Source organism: Homo sapiens, chromosome 1 (genome assembly GCF_000001405.40).
Source record: "Homo sapiens chromosome 1, GRCh38.p14 Primary Assembly".
NCBI classification, from domain to species: Eukaryota; Metazoa; Chordata; class Mammalia; order Primates; family Hominidae; genus Homo; species Homo sapiens.
Genome location: NC_000001.11, coordinates 236,289,333 through 236,305,816, shown reverse-complemented (window position 1 = coordinate 236,305,816; position 16,484 = coordinate 236,289,333). Strand labels below are relative to the sequence as shown.

Here is a 16,484-nt window from a genome sequence, read left to right as displayed (position 1 = left end):
CTTATATGATGTTGGGTTTATCTGATTGTTCTATGTTAGGCTTGTCTGATTGTTCAATATACCTTTTTTTTGTTTTCTTTTGAGATGGAATCACGCTCTGTCGCCCAGGCTGGAATGCAATGGCACGATCTCTGCTCACTGCAATGTCCACCTCCCGGGCTCAAGCAATTCTCCTGCCTCAGCCTCCTGAGTAGCTGGCACTACAGGCACCTACCACCAAGCCTGACTAATTTTTGTGTTTTTAGTAGAGATGGGGTTTCACCATGTTGGCCAGGATGGTTTCGAACTCCTGGCCTCATATGATCCACCTGTCTTGGCCTCCCAAAGTGCTGGGATTACAAGAGTGAGCCACTGCACCAGCCTGTTCAATGTAACTTATAAGTTCAATATAAGTTTATATATAACCATGTTTTGCTGCAAATCCTGGTTGCATCTGAATCCAGTATATTATAGAAATCAATGGAGGTAATTTTAGGTCAATAGCCTTCTAAATGATCAAGACTGATTCTCTAAAGAGGAAAGCAGGTTCAAGTCAATAGATGAACGTTAATAAGGCAAAGCTGGTATAGGTCCTATAACCCAGAGGGCGGGGGTAAAAGAGTCTCTCCAGAGACAGTGGATTCCAAATATTAATTAAAAGTTTTGTTCTTTTAGTGGAGAAAATGAAAAGCTTTTCACTTGGTGCTTGTTTGGGGATGCGGTAGAATAAATTTGAGACTGGGTAATAAACCGTCAGTAAAGCCTAGAAATTGAAAGAGGACTCCTGAGCTGAATGGCCTTGCAAAATTAATGTACAGCAAAAAGTTCACCCAAAAACACTTACAGCAGTTCGACATCTCTCTATCAGCGAAGGCCTTCTAAACAGCAGGTGCTCAGTAATAGTCATAAAACCTCAGCTAAAAGCAGCTTAATGTGATAATTTATTTACAGATAAGGAAACCAAGGCCGTGACAGATGACTGACTTGCACAATGTCACCCAGTGAGTTAGCAACAGAATGAAAACTAGACTCCAAGCCCATATACATCAGTGGATGGGCCCAGGTCCCTGGAATCGAATTCTATGGAGCCATATCCTACATTGCCTGTTGTTGCCTGTTAGTTTAGGGTATTGTGAACTATTTCTGAGCTTCAGTTTCCTCATGTCTAAAATAAAAGGGAGAGCAGCCCTTGCTTCATCACACTGTTGTTCTGAGGATGTGATCCATGAAAAGCCTTCGCCATAAAGCCTGGCACAGAGGAAACGCTCAGACGTTAGCTCTTACTGAGATTGACAGCCCGCACAGTGCACCTTCAACTGCACAACTGCATTTAATAAATAAAGGAGGAAAGTGGAATAAAAGGATCATTTTATTGGGTTGATACAGAAAGGTACTTCTCCCCCAAATCAGTTCAAAGCAGTAAAAGCTGTGGACAACCTGCACTTGCTGGGTTTAACCAGGCCTGGGACTAGGCTTCTCACGAAGCAGGTTCACTCAGGCCTCTGGAGTCCATTAATAACAGGTGGTAACTAGCGTTTCAGTGGGGCAGTCAGACTCTGTGGACAGGTAAATCTGGGCACGTTTAGGTGAGTAGGCTGTGACTGCTTTCGCAGGCTGAGGGGAGAGTCACATTCGGCCTGCCTCTCCCTCTTGCTTTGCTTTAAAGGCTGCTTGATTCTCACCCTTTTTGAGCCCCAAGGTCATGGGCTACCCTGGAGGCTAAGCTCCTGCCCCTGCTTACTACCCAGGGCTGCTTCCTCTGGTTGCTACATTGCATACTCCACTGGGTGACCTGGAGACCCAAGACAAGACTCCAAACACCACAGTGCAAGACAAGCCACTGCAGGGCCCTGGCCCAGGGCAAAGAAGCAGGTTTGGGCATGAAGGAGGAAGTGAGGGCATTGAGCTTTGGGGCCTTCACCGAGGGCTACTAGCAGTTGGAGGGGGATTTTTCATGTGCTTTGGAGTAATCGACTAATTCTTGTCTTTCATTTTCTGAGACCTGTGCTCTAGATGGGGACAGCCTGAGCCGTGCAGATGTCCACATCTTACTGGAGACTGCAGGGGGTGCTGAGGGGCTGCTGTTGGGTCTGGGCTTCTTAGAGCGCTCCTTGGAGGCACATGTGTTGGCCAAGGCACAAGCCCAGGCTCCAGTCCAGGCACCCAGCAGGGCCAGTGCTGCTGGCTGGAACCTATTGCTGGGTATAAGTTGGGATGGGGGTGGGACTGAATTAGGCCCCTTAACGTAATTTCTCTGGGGGAGAAGTTGATGAGGCAGGAGGACAATGAAGTCAATGAAATGCATGAGCCCCAGTATTAGAACTTTTAGTTGTATCCACTTTGCCTCTTAACTTTGGGGTGAAATTCTTCAGCTGCTATTCTCATTCTTCTATGTAAAACTTCTTCTTCCTTCTCCTTCTCCTTATCCTTCTTCTTCTCCTTTTTATAGAAATGGGGTCTTACTATTTGACCAGGCTGGTCTTGAACTCCTGGCCTCAAGGGATCTTCCCGTCTCATCCTCCCAAGGTGCTGGGATTACAGGTGTGAGCCACCACGCCAGGCCCCAAAGTGATTTTTTTTTAATTGTGGTAAAATATGCATAACATAAAATGTATCATTTTAACTATTTTAAGTGTACAATTCAGTGGCATTAAGTACATTCATACTATTGTGCAACCATCACCACTATTCATTCCCAGAACCTTTTATCATCTCAAACAGAAACTCTGCACCCAAAACAATAACTCCCCACTCCTTTCTCTTCCCAGCCACAGCTAATCTTTGTTACACTTTCTGTCTCTATGTGTTTGCCTATTCTAGGTATCTCATATAAGTGGAATCATACAATATTTGTCCTTTTGTGTCTGCCTTATTTAACTTAGCATAATGTCCTCCAGGTTTATCCATGTTGTGGCATACTTCAGAATCTCTTTCCTTGGCCCGGTGCAGTGGCTCACGCCTATAATCCCAGCACTTCGGGAGGCCAAGGCAGGAGGATTACTTGAGCCCAGGAGTTGGAGACCAGCCTGGGAAATACAGCAATCCTGTCTCTACAAAAAATAAAAAAATAAAAATTAGCTGGGAGTGGTAGCACCACTGCACTCTAGCCTGGGTGACAGAGCAAGACACTGTCTCAAAAAAAAAAAAAAAAAAAAAAAAAAAAAAAGAAGAAGAAAGAAATTCTTTCCTTTTTAAGCCTGAAAAATATTCCATTGTATACCATATTTAGTGGATGTATTCATCTGTTGGCCGAAAATGATTTTTGAACAACTAGGCATTTCATTTCCAAGATCCCTAAATGTTTTAAAAATACGTAATAGCCTTTCATGTAAGTAATGTATTCTCTTAAATTTGGAGACTATATACTTTTTAAATATATAAAGCCCTGCCTTGTTTGCTCTATTAACTCTCTTTTCTCCTGAGTAAGTAATTCCCTTTATTTTCTGTTCTCCAGTGTCGGCTTGCCCCAGGTATTTGGTAAGTTTAGACCATGGGCTTATCATTCAGGATCAGAGTCCCTCTACAGTGTCTGTTGCCCTTATTTGTACTCCTTCTTGGGAGAGGGGTGGTCAGAGTCTACAGAGGCAACAGAGACTTATGTCCTGGCCAATTTCTAGTTGGAATGAGGGAGAAGCAGGATGTGCTGCCCACCCTTACAACTCCAGCCTAGAGGCAGATCCCCTCCCACTTCTCACTCCAGGCCCAGAAGAGGGAGAGGGAAGAACCCAGGTGCCGGGACTAGCTTTGTTTGTTTCCTAACGAATTGGCTTGGCTGTTGTCCCAGGGCCTCCTCCTGTGATGATTTCTCCCACCTCCATTTCCACAGGTGTAAAAATGGGCATGAAAGCAGAAAGAATGTTTCCAATAGATTAATATTAAATTCGTATGCTCTTTTCTTCAGTATATATATTTTTTAATGTCAGGTGGGTAATGTGCTGATGTAGAAACAAAGTTTTGAATCAGCAAGTTTCCCTGACCCCTTCGTGAGCAGGAACTGGAGTGCAGCTGCTGGAACTAGCTGGCTACTTCCACGCCAGCAGGGGTGAACTCCACTCACTTGAACCCACTGCACTCAACCTCTCCCAGGAGGGAGCATGCAGGTGAGCAGGTGCTGGAGCCAGGGTGACTGCTTTTGGGCGCCGGCAGGAACGAACTTTATACTGCCCCATGGCAGCCTCTAGGGGTGTGCCCACAACCCCTGAAGCCCCAGAAGGAGTGTTACAGTCAGTGCTCTTTTAGCTTTGCTCTCCACAGACAGCTTAAGTGTTAACAGCTCGGCGGAGCGTCAGTGTGACAGCCTTTCACACCCATACCTGAGTTCTTGTCCAGCATCCAGAAGGAATGAGGTCACACAAACAAATTGGAGATGGTAAATGCAGGGGATTTTATTGCCGATGAAAGCAGCTCTCAGCAGGAAGGGGAGCTGAAAAGGGGATGGAGCAGGAAGGTAATCTTCCCCCAGAGTCTGGCCGCCCTCAGCTAGACGCCTCTCCAAAGCTATACGGTCAAGCTGTCCCTCTGAAGTTAAGCCACTTCTGTCTGATGTTCAGCCGTAGTCTGCGACATCCAGCTGCTTCTCCTCTTCTCTGCCCACAGAGTCTGGGGTTTTTATAGGCACAGGATTGGGGGTGGAACGGGCCATGGGTGGTTTTGGAAAAGGCAACATTTGAGTGGGAAAACAGAGATGTCAGTTCTCACTTTGGGCTGCAGTTCCAGGCTTAAGGGAGGGGCCCTGGCCAGGGACCCACTCTCTTCTGCCCAGAATTTCCCTGCCTCCTGTCCCTATCAGTCTGAGGGAGGCACATTTCATTAATGTGTGTGAAACCTCAATCATCATGCTTATGAGCTACAAAAGGATCTGGTATTTCCATCAGAGAGAGTCTTTTCTAGGAATATCAAAGAAACCACATGTATCCATGTACACATGGGAACTATAATGTATCCATGGTGCATATATGTGTGTGTGTGATTTTGAGAAATGCTATACAAAAAGGAGTAGCGATTTTAAAATTATGGGTTTTTTGTTTTTGTTTTTGTCTTGAGAGAGTCTTGCTCTGTTGCCCAGGCTGGAGTACAGTGGCGTGATCTCGGCTCACTGCAACCCTCACCTCCCGGGTTCATGTGACTCTCCTGGCTCAGCCTCCTGAGTAACTGGGACTACAGGCATGCACCACACCCAGCTAATTTTTTGTATTTTTAGTAGAGACGGGTTTTGCCATGGTGGCCAGGCTGGTCTTGAACTTCTGGCCTGAAGTGATCCACCCGCCTTGGCCTCCCAAAGTGCTGGGATTACAGGTGTGAGCCACCACGCCCAGCCTGAAATTATGATTTAAATGTGAAATTATTTGGATGTATTTATTTGGAAAACGAGGCATTAAAAAGTAATTTCCGTGTTGCCAGGGACTGAAGGGTTATATTGCAACTTAAACTAACAATAAAATGATAATCCATTCTTCTTAGGTAAAACAAATTCTCTTAAAGCTGTAAAAATAACACAAGCTGCTTCAACAAATATAGAACATTGGTCCAATATAATTATTAAATTAGTTCTTATCTGGGCAACTATTACAATTTTAAAATTGAACCAGTGTTTTTTAACAGAGAACTTCTTTGTGGGTGAAAATTTGTTAACCCTCAGCAAATATTGGTTAGGAAAAAATACAAATATGAAATTTCTAAACCTCATAGATGGACTTATGAAAAATAAGAGTAAATGATGAAGGAACAGAAGGCTTCAAACTAACAGGTTTTTGTTTTTTTTTTTTTTGTACAGTATCCCTATTTTATTATTTATTTATTTATTGAGATGAAGTCTCACTCTGTCACCCAGGCTGGAGTGCAGTGGCACGATTTCGGCTCACTGCAACCTCCGGCTCCCAGGTTCAAACGATTCTTCTGCCTCAGCCTCCCGAGTAGCTGGGAATACAGGCATACGCCATGACACCCGGCTAATTTTTGTATTTTTAGTAGAGATGGAGTTTCGCCATGTTGGCCAGGCTGGTCTTGAACTCCTGACCTCAAGTGGTCCGCCTGCCTCGGCCTTCCAAAGTGCTGAGATTACAGGTATGGGCCACCCCGCCCGTCCTCTATTTTAAATTACCGTAATTTTTGGTTGAATAAATTGTTGTAAGCCATCATAGAATCTAGCTGTTTATAAGCCTGCATTCAAGACAGCAGCGGGTAGTAGAGTTCCCAGGCCTTCTGGCAAGGCTCAGCTCAGAACAATCAATGCCAGGATCAGATTTTGTTCAAATTTTGAAGTGTAATCATTCCTTTTCCTCATTCCCATTTTTCCCCTTTTCTTCTCAGGTGGAGGGAATATTTGCTTCAAGGGTACTACATATTTGTGTCTGGCTCCTGAGAGAGAGAAAGAACTTTTTACGAAATGACCCAGAAATGAAAAATTTTAAATCATTATAAGGAGGTTCATTCAGCCCATCTTTTATGATGTAGCTATATAATCTATTAAAGAGAGAGAATTGTCATGAGGACCTATAACCAGAACTGAATGAACCAAGAACAGTGATCTATCCAAAGGAACTTATAACCAAGATTACTTGGGTCTGAGTCTTCTAGGGAGCTGTCCTCACTACAAACACAACAACAAAGACCACAGTTCATCCAGCAAACACTTTAACTGATATTACTGTTAATGCTGTCTGTGAACTACCTACCTGTAACATTTGAAGAGCCAATGATTTCCTTAATTCTATGTAGCAAATCAAGTAACATATTGCTGTTTTGAATAATCTCTACCCACATTCATATCCACATTTATGGATATGTAGACTTCAAAGACAACATAGAATACTGCTTAAGCAAGCAAGTAGAGAGCCATTAGTATATACTTTCCAAATCCCTCCCTGTCCGGCTGCCTTCTACAGCTCGTAGAATATTGAACACTGCGTGGGTACAGGGGCTCACGCCTGTAATCCCAGCACTTTGGGAGGCCAAGGCAGGCAGATCACGAGGTCAAGAGATCGAGACCACCCTGGCCAACATGATGAAACCCCGTCTCTACTAATACAAAAATTAGCTGGGCGTGGTGGTACGTGCCTGTAGTCCCAGCTACTCCGGAGGCTGGGGCAGGAGAATCGCTTGAACCCAGGAGGCAGAGGTTGCAGTGAGCTGAGATGGCACCCAAAAAAAAAAAAAGAAAAGAAAAAGAACAAACAACTTTCCGGCCGCGTGGGGTGGCTCACGCCTGTAATCACAGCACTTTGGGAGGCCAAGGCAGGCGGATCACGAGGTCAGGAGTTCGAGACCAGTCTGGCCAACATAGTGAAACCCCATCTCTACTAAAAATACAAAAAATTAGCCAGGTGTGGTGGTGTCGCCTGTAATCCCAACTACTCAGGAGGCTGAGGCCGGAGAATCGCACGAACCCCGGAGGCAGAGGTTGCAGTGAGCCGAGTTTGTGCCATTGCACTCCAGCCCGAGCGACAGTGCAAGACTCTGTCTAAAAATAAACAAAAAAGAATATTTAGTACTGCATTCATACCCTAAGCATGGGCTACTTTCTCAGAGCTAGTTTCTCCATAGAGATAACCATGCAGGCCAATCTGCATGTCCATTTGACAAATATCTGTAAACTGACTACTTATGTGTTAGTCTCCTGGCCTGGGGCTGAGCATTCAGTTGTGACCAAATAGACCCTGTCCTTGCCTTCGTGGACATTAAGGTTTTGACATCTGGGTTTATTTTTGCAATTCACAATCCAAACTATGGTTCCATTTATAGTCCTTTTATTATGAAGTTGGATCATCCAGTGAAGCTTGGATGAACCTTGAAATGAAAGGAAAATTGCCTGGAAATAGCAAGGAGTCAGTACCACCAAATGCTATTATTTCATTTTACTTGTACATCAGCTTTATAAGGCTTAAGGAAGGCAAGAATTATTGCACTCACTTTACAGATGAGGATATCTAAAAAGAAAGGTTAGATGACTTGACTCGAGTCACTTGGTGGTAGAAAAAGGACTGTAAGTTTGGTTTCCTATAGACGGGTTACCAGTAAGTAGCATCACTGTTCTTTTCTTTTACTGAACAAAGTCTTCTTTCTACTTTCCCCAAAGGGCCCAACTTCCCATGAAAAGAAAAATCCCAGTAGACACTAAGCATTATCAGGACTAGCGTTCCTTAAGTCCCTTTAGTAAGTCTTATCAAATTGCCACTTTAATAAATCTTTTCCAGAGACTTCCCAAGTTCTGAAAATCTGAACTTAGGACTGTTTCCTAGAGAGTTGGTAGTAAAGTTTTAAGAACAGGCAAAGGGCATATAGATATAATACTTAAAAGATAACTCAGTTTGAAAACATTTGGTCACACATATACACATGCATACCTGTTCCCATCCTATCTTTATCTCTCGCTGTAGATATTCAGTGTCATCACTAACTTTACGTCACAGATAAGGTAGCTATATAAATGTATGTGGCTGACTGCCACTACTGCTACTTGAGACCGTCACTAGAGCAATTACTACTGTTACTGCTTGAGACCATCGTTACGACTGAACGAAGAGACGAACGTAGAAATGATAACTTAAAACAAAAGTAACTATTTTAAGGAAAGACTAGCATGAGGAAGAAGAAGAGAGCTCCCTGCTTCTAGTGAGTAAAGACAGTCCCCCAAGCTTCTACAGCTCTTCCTATTTATTGGGTAACAGGAGCAGGGAGGAGGAGGTAATGATTGGTCAGCTGCTTAATTGTTCATATTGTTACTGACAGGCTTCAATTATGCCTAATCATAAGAAACATTTGTGCCTCCAACAAATGTACATTTAAATAAACATTTAAAATGTACCCACATTTTTGCAAGCATATCAAACTGATTTCATTTGTCCATGTTTTCTAACCAGATCTTATCCACATGCATACAAATGCCATATGTAGTTTTTAATCATCGTTCAACTTTTAACAATTTTTTATTTATTTTTTGAGACAGGGTTTTGCTCTGTCACCCAGGCTGGAGTTCAGTGGTGTGATCATGGCTCACTGCAGCCATGAACCTCTGGGCTCAAGCAGTCCTCCCACTTCAGCCTCCTGAGTCGCTTGGCTATAGGCACGTACCATCACACGCGGCTAATTTTCAAAATTTTGTAGAGACGCAGTCTTGCTATATTGCCCAGGCTGGTCTCTAGCTCCTGGGCTCAAGTGATCTTCCTGCCTCAGCCTCCCACAGCACTGAGAGTACAGGTATTAGCCACTATGCCCAGCCTCAACTTTTATTTTTTAAAAAAGTATGTAAATAATATTACCCTAATTGACTTATGGTCATTTTATTCACTTTAAAAATTTTGATTGATCTGAAGGAAGGAAAATCAAAGACCATTGCCTCATACTTGAACCCTCAACTGAAGGATTACGTCTTCATAAAAAATTCTTTCCTGGCCAGGTGCAGTAGCTCAGGCCTGTAATCCCAGCACTTTGGGAGGCCAAGGCAGATCACCTGAGGTCGGGAGTTCAAGATCAGCCTGACCAATATGGAGAAATCCCATCTTTACTAAAAATACAAAAAATTAGCTGGGCATGGTGGTGCATGCCTGTAATTCCAGCTACTCAGGAGGCTGAGGCAGGAGAATCACTTGAACTCGGGAAGCAGAGGTTGCGGTGAGCGGAGATCGAGCCATTGCACTCCAGCCTGGACAACAAGAGCCAAACTCTGTCTCAAAAAAAAAAAAAAAAAAAAAACTTTTCTTGATGGGTCATAGAAAGTAGAAGAGAGACATGTACCAGTTTTGCCTTTCAGCATAGGAAGTACTTACAGATGAGAATCCATGTGGAAGAAGAAGAAAAAATTGGGGGGGATGGGAAGGACTCATTTAAAACAAGTCTCAGTTTGTTTTTCTTTTTTTAATTTAAAAAGGAAAAATTGATTCAAATGCTCATTCGCAACACAGAAAATCCTATAAAAGTGGCAAATATAGTACAGCATATTATTTTCTTTCCTTTTCTTTTTCTTTTTTTTTTTTTTTGATACAGAGTTTCGCTCTTGTAGCCCAGGCTGGAATGCAGTGATGCGGTCTCGGCTCACTGCAATCTCCACCTTCAGGGTTCAAGTGATTCTCCTGCCTCAGCCTCCCGAGTAGCTGGGATTACGGGTGCCCGCCACCACACCTGGCTAATTTTTGTAATTTTAGTAGAGACAGATTTCACCATGTTGGCCAGGCTGGTCTCGAACTCCTGACCTCAGGTGATTTGCCCTCCTTGGCCTCCCAAAGTGCTAGGATTACAGGCATGAGCCAGTGTGCCCAGCCAACATACTTATATTTTAAACATAATGACAGTGATGGATGAGACACTCACTCTGGGATGAAAAGATTGTCTTCAAAATCTGCAAAGTCCTAATGTTGCTAATGCTGGTGCTATGAATGTTGGAAGAAATGGTGTACTGATATCCCAGGACAGTCCAATGACGTTTCTCCCAAATAGTTATTTATGACACTAATATCCAGATACTTTAAAATATTTCTTTAGTAATCAATTATATTAAAATAACCCCACAATAACTAGCTCCCTTCATCTCAACACCAGCTTTTGTTAGTTTTGAGCTTCAATCTTTGAGTCAGAAAGTTTTTCTTACTTTTTTTTTTTTTTTTTTGAGACAGTTTCACTCTGTCACCCAGGCTGGAGTGCAGTGGTGCGATCTCAGCTCACTGCAGTCTCTGCCTGCCGGGTTCAGGCAACTCTCCTGCCTCAGCCTCCCAAGTAGCTGGGATTACAGGCACGCACCACCATGCCCAGCTAATTTTTTATATTTTTAGTAGAGAGGAGGTTTTACTCTGTTAGTCAGGCTAGGTCTCAAACTCCTGACCTCAAGTGAACCGCCCGCCTCAGCCTCCCAAAGTGCTGGGATTACTGGCTTGAGCCACAACGCCCGTTCACTTGCTATTTTTTTTTTTTAAGTATACTACATTCCCGTTTTCTGGGCATTATTATATGTAATCTAGTCTAGTTTACTTCGTGACTGTGAAGACTGTGACTACTGATGGTCCCATTCACTCAATCCAGTTCAAACTATTGAATGTGGGAGGACAAGACAACGGGCCACTTACTGAGTTGCTGACACCTATGTTCATACTAAAAATAAAATGGGATTATTCTAAAATGTTTCAAATAGGTTAGAAAAAGTGCTTTCGTTTGTTGGTTGGTTGGAAAAAAGCTCAGTACAGCTCCATTTTTTAGGTGGAATCAAGAAAGTCGAGGTTGAAAAACTCTTAAAACCTATGTGGCCCAGTCATTCATTTTGATGCCTAAAACCCCTATAACATCCCTGCGAAGTGGTTGTCTACCCTTTACTTATCTCTAGTGGCAGGGGAGTGTCTATTCCTCCACATCATAGAAATTAACAAACAAGAACACATTAGTAGGTTTCCATTAAAAAATGATTAAGAAAGGGCCGGGTGTGGTGGCTCATGCCTGTAATCCCAGCACCTTGGGAGGCCGAAGCAGGCAGATCATGAGGTCAGGAGTTTGAGACCAGCCTGATCAACATGGTGAAACCCTGTCTCTGCTAAAAATACAAAATTTAGCCGGGCGTGATGGCGCGTGCCTGTAATCCCAGCTACTCAGGAGGCTGAGGCAGAAGAATCATTTGAACCCAGGAGATGGAGGTTGCAGTGAGCCAAGATTGCACACTGCACTCCAGCTGGGGCAACAGAGTGAGACTCTGTCTCAAAAAAAAAAAAAAAAGGATTAAGAATTGTATGCAACTTTTCAGGACAGTAAGGGGATTTTTTAACTGTCACTCAAAACATGATATCAGAGCTATGTTTTTTACATGGGGAAATGCAGGTGGCATAGATACCTTATGCAGCAGGCTGAGGTGTAGAGAATCCTAAGCCAATTCTGGTCAGAAGCACTTCAGAGGTGACCGCATAGAATGATGCGGGAAGTCATGGCTGTAGGGTGCTATACCAAAGACACCTAAGGAAAATCACTGTCCTTCTGTCTGGGCTGCTATAACAGAAATACCACAGACCACATAGCTTAAACAACAAATATTTATTTCTCACAGTTCTGGAGGCCGGGAGTCCAAGATCAACGTGCCAGATTCTGTGTCTGGTGAAGGCCCACTTCCTGGTTCATAGACTGCCATCTTCTCTCTGGGTCCTCATATGGAGAAGAGACGAAGGAGCTCTCTGCAGTCTCTTTTATAAGGGCACTAATCCCATTCATGAGAGCTCAACCCTCATGACTTAATCACCTCCCAAAGGCCCCACTTCTAAATACCATCATTTTAGTATGCATACATTTTGGGGGGGCACGCAAATAGTCTACAGCAGTCATTGTATCTTAATTTTCTTCCATAACCTTGACAGTGCTACAGAGATTTTTCTTATCTGTGATTTAGCTTATGCCATCTGGATTGCTGCAAGATTTAAAATCTCACTTTCCTGGTTCATAATTTTGGTCAGAATATTAAGTCGATAATCATTAATGTTTTATAAGATAACCGGGCACAATGACCCATCAGTTCTTTTTCTCTTGAAAGCACATCATGCAGACAGAATGAAGAGAAACCATTTTGAGCTAATGAATTTGATATTTTCTTTTAATCTACATGGTTAGAATGAATTCCAGCTCACATGGACTTTTCCATTTGTGAGAGAAACCTCTAGGTAGCAAGGTTTATTTTAAAATTATTTCACTGGGGCAGAGAGGAATGAAAAGGTGGAGTGCAGGGGATTTTTAAGGCAGCAAAACTATTCTGTATGATTCTACAACAGTAGATACACATTATTAAACACTTGTCAAAACCCCCAGGATGGGCCTGGCGCGGTGGCTCACACCTGTAATCCCAGCACTTTGGGAGGCCAAGGTGAGTGGATCATTTGAGGTCAGGAGTTCAAGACCAGCCTGGCCAACATGGTGAAATCCTGTCTCTACTAAAAATACAAAAATTAGCCAAGTGTGGTGGCACCCTCCTGTAATCCCAGCTACTCAAGAGGCTGAGGCAGGAGAATCGCTTGAACCCAGGATGCGGAGGTTGCAGTGAGCCAAGATCCTGCCATTGCCCTCCAGCCTAGGTTACAGCGCCAGACTCCATCTCAAAACAAAACAAGACAAAAACCCCATAGGATATATAATACAAAGAGTTAACCCTAATGTAAACTATGAACTTGATAATGATGTGTCAATGCTGCTTAATTGATTGTAACAAATGTACCCCGGAGGTGGTGATGTTGACTCTAGGGAGGCAGTGTGCACAGGGCAGGGTTGTAGGAGAACTCTCTGTACTTTCCACTTGACTTCGCTGTGAGACTAAAACTGCTCTAAAAGATAAAGCCTATTTTTAAAAAATGACTACACAAAGCTTCCAGGTATCAACATTTGGTTTCAAATAAGCACACCTTCTGATTTTCAAAAATGTTTTTTCCATTATTAAAAGTCTTAGAGCCTTTTTTTGATAAATAAGTAAATTTTATGTATGGTGATTTCAAAAGTACAATGAAGTTATTAGGTAGGAAAACCTCTTTGGTAAGTTATTTTGTATGGTGAAGAATCGCTCTAATGTGGTTGTATGATAAATCCAGGGATCCCTTTAAAAAGCACTACCAGGAGGCTGGGTGCGGTCACTCACGCCTGTAATCCCAGCACTTTGGGAGGCCGCTGCGGGCGGATCACGAGGTCAGGAGATCGAGACCATCCTGACTAACACGGTGAAACCCCGTCTCTACTAAAAATACAAAAAAAAAACAAAAAAATTGGCCGGGTGTAGTGGCGGGCGCCTGTAGTCCCAGCTATTCGGGAGGCTGAGGCAGGAGAATGGTGTGAACCCGGGAGGTGGAGCTTGCAGTGAGCAGAGATCACGCCACTACACTCCAGCCTGGGTGACAGAGCGAGACTCCGTCTAAAAAAATAAAACATAAAAACCACCACCAGGAAGATCAGACTTTAAAACATCATTAAAACAGTATCTGGGCCAGGTGCAGTGGCTCATGCCTGTGATCCCAGCACTTTGGGAGGCTGAGGTAGGTGGATCACGAGGTCAGGAGTTCAAGAGCAGCCTGGCCAACATGGTGAAACCTCATCTCTACTAAAAATACAAAAATTAGCTGGGCGTGGTGGTGGGCACCTGTAATCCCAGTTACTTGGGAGGCTGAGGCAGAGAATTGCTTGAACCTGGGAGGCGGAGGTTGCAGTGAGCCGAGATCGCGCCAATGCACTCCAGCCTGGGCAACAAAGTGAGACTGTCTCAAACAAACAAACAAACAAACAACCAAAAAAACAGTATCTGAAAACTGGGGAGAAGATACTCCCAAATAATTATAATCTCTGAAATAATTGGACATTTTCTCTCTGTTTTCTGATTGTTTTATAACTTGGTGGCAATGCAGACTGGTGAAAATATTCCTAAGAAATAGCGAGATGATTTCATTGGATAACAGAATAGAAAGCAAATCCCTGGAATCACGGGAAAAAGGAGACACAAGAATGGCCTTTTTCATTCTTGGGGACTAGAACAATTTTCTCACGTAAGTTTACTGTGGTGGCTCATCGTGCTTCTGTGGGTGACTGTGGATGATCACAAACAAGAATTCCACTGGGATTCCAACCTTGAGAAGTATTAGGTAAGAGTCACTTTTAATGCCTTGCAGATTATACGATAAGCTTGTCTTTTCCAGAAAAAGAGCACAGTATATTTAAATACAATTCTATATGCAAGGCCATCCTGCTCAAGTAGAAGAAAAAGATCCCTGAAGAATGTGTATCTCTGAGAGATCATCAAAAGTCCCTAAATGGAACAATGGAAATTATATAAAGTAAAACCGGCAAGCAGATGATTCTGTTAAGGCTAAGTGGAATCCAAATCTAAGTCCAGATGTGGGCAAGTGTGAGAGAATAACACACAGGAGGTCAGGATCTTACCTCACTGAGGCTGCACAATAAAAACCGGACTCTCGGCTGGGTGTGGTGGCTAATGACTGTAATCCCAGCACTTTGGGAGGCCGAGGCAGGAGGATCATGAGGTCAAGAGATCAAGAGTATCCTGGCCAACATGGTGAAACCCCGTCCCTACTAAAAATACAAACATAAGCTGGGCGTGATGGTGTGTGCCTGTAATCCCAGCTACTCGGGAGGCTGAGGCAGGAGAATCGCTTGAACCCCGGAGGCAGAGGTTGCAGTGAGCTGAGATCATGCCACTGCACTCCAGCCTGGCGACAGAGCGAGACTCCATCTCAAAAAACAACACAACAACAACAAAACCAGACTCTCCTGGCAGGTGGGTGGGGAAGGGGGACAGTAAGGCAATGGCGGCAGAGAAGCAGCAGCAGCATAAGGCACAGACGACGCATCTGACTGTAATCCATGTACATACTCAACCGAACTAATGAAAAAGCAGCTGAATGTAGAGAAACTAAACTTATTGAGGCTCCCAATGACTTGGGGTACAGACCAACAGGAGGGAAGAACTTAGTACCAGCATAGAACCACCCACTGACCACCATGTCCAGCTGGGCTGTGCAGTCAGCCTTTTCCTATTTGCTGCCACCATCTCTATGACCTTGATCCTTTCTACTTCCTGTGATGTTCATGGTATTAGCTGTCACTGTGATTTACCCTGGACCCTATGTGGAATGGAGTGGATAAGGAGAGTGGGCAGAAGTCAAGTGGTCCCAATGTGCCTCACAATTCTGTGGTTATGTGAAGGCTTTTTTTTTTTTTTTTTGCATTATAGAAGTTATGTGGGGGGTGGAAATTGGTAGAATTATGTTTCTAGTTTTTCCAATTATTTAGATTCCTCATCACATATTAACTTCTAGCATAGTATCATGTTTGTTACAGAAAAGGTTTTATCCAAACTATATCACCATGTCAACTCCTTTAGAAATAGAATTAATTCTAACTGATTCAAGTTTATCAGCTTTAATGCTCTTAAGTGAAAATACTTGAGAATGACACAGCTGAGTAAATATTAAAGAAAAACAAGGAATACTTAAGGTAGCATAACTAATAACAAGCTGCAGGCCAGACAAGTTCTTTGATTTTAACAACTTTTAATCCCTATTAATTGTCAAAAGACAAGGCGAAGAAATCCCCTCAGTAAAATTCAGAAATCTAATCACCAAGCCAAAATTCCCCTATAACTATGTCACAGATGGAAATCCAGTTTTAAGAAACTGGCATGGTCAGTTGTTAACACACCAGTACCATCTACAAACACAGTTGTTTAAACACAACAGATTGCCATTACTCAGCAGGTTCAGTAATCACAATTCAGCTTGCTATTAGGAGAGAAAATTACTGGTGTTTTTAGTTTCCATCCCATTACCTTGACTTTTATTTAGAGCCATTCATCAACAATTTCCTCCTTCATTAGAAGTCACAAGTTAACCAAGCCATACGGTCATCAAAGAAACACAATACATTTGATGAGATCTTGAAAATGTAAATGCTTAGTGCAATTTTGTTAATTCACGACGTTTCTTAAGCATTACAGCAATCTATTCAAGATAATTCTCAAGCCTTTGCTTCAGAATCCATTAGCTATAGACATTTCA

At 43.1% G+C, this 16,484-nt stretch overlaps 1 pseudogene, besides 2 other annotated features; it reads right to left on the bottom strand.

The window, feature by feature from the left end:
* Window positions 1,639-1,948: an enhancer, noted in NCBI's record as "active region_2821". NCBI's record gives its function as "activates an Ori minimal core promoter by ATAC-STARR-seq in GM12878 lymphoblastoid cells {active_cell/tissue: GM12878}" and the evidence as "EXISTENCE:reporter gene assay evidence [ECO:0000049][PMID:35858748]".
* Window positions 4,766-4,837, bottom strand: LOC124904852 (uncharacterized; annotated as a pseudogene).
* Window positions 15,270-15,508: a silencer, noted in NCBI's record as "fragment chr1:236453609-236453847 (GRCh37/hg19 assembly coordinates)". NCBI's record gives its function as "represses an EF-1alpha promoter that drives an FKBP-Casp9 reporter gene in an ReSE screen in K562 erythroleukemia cells {active_cell/tissue: K562}" and the evidence as "EXISTENCE:reporter gene assay evidence [ECO:0000049][PMID:32094911]".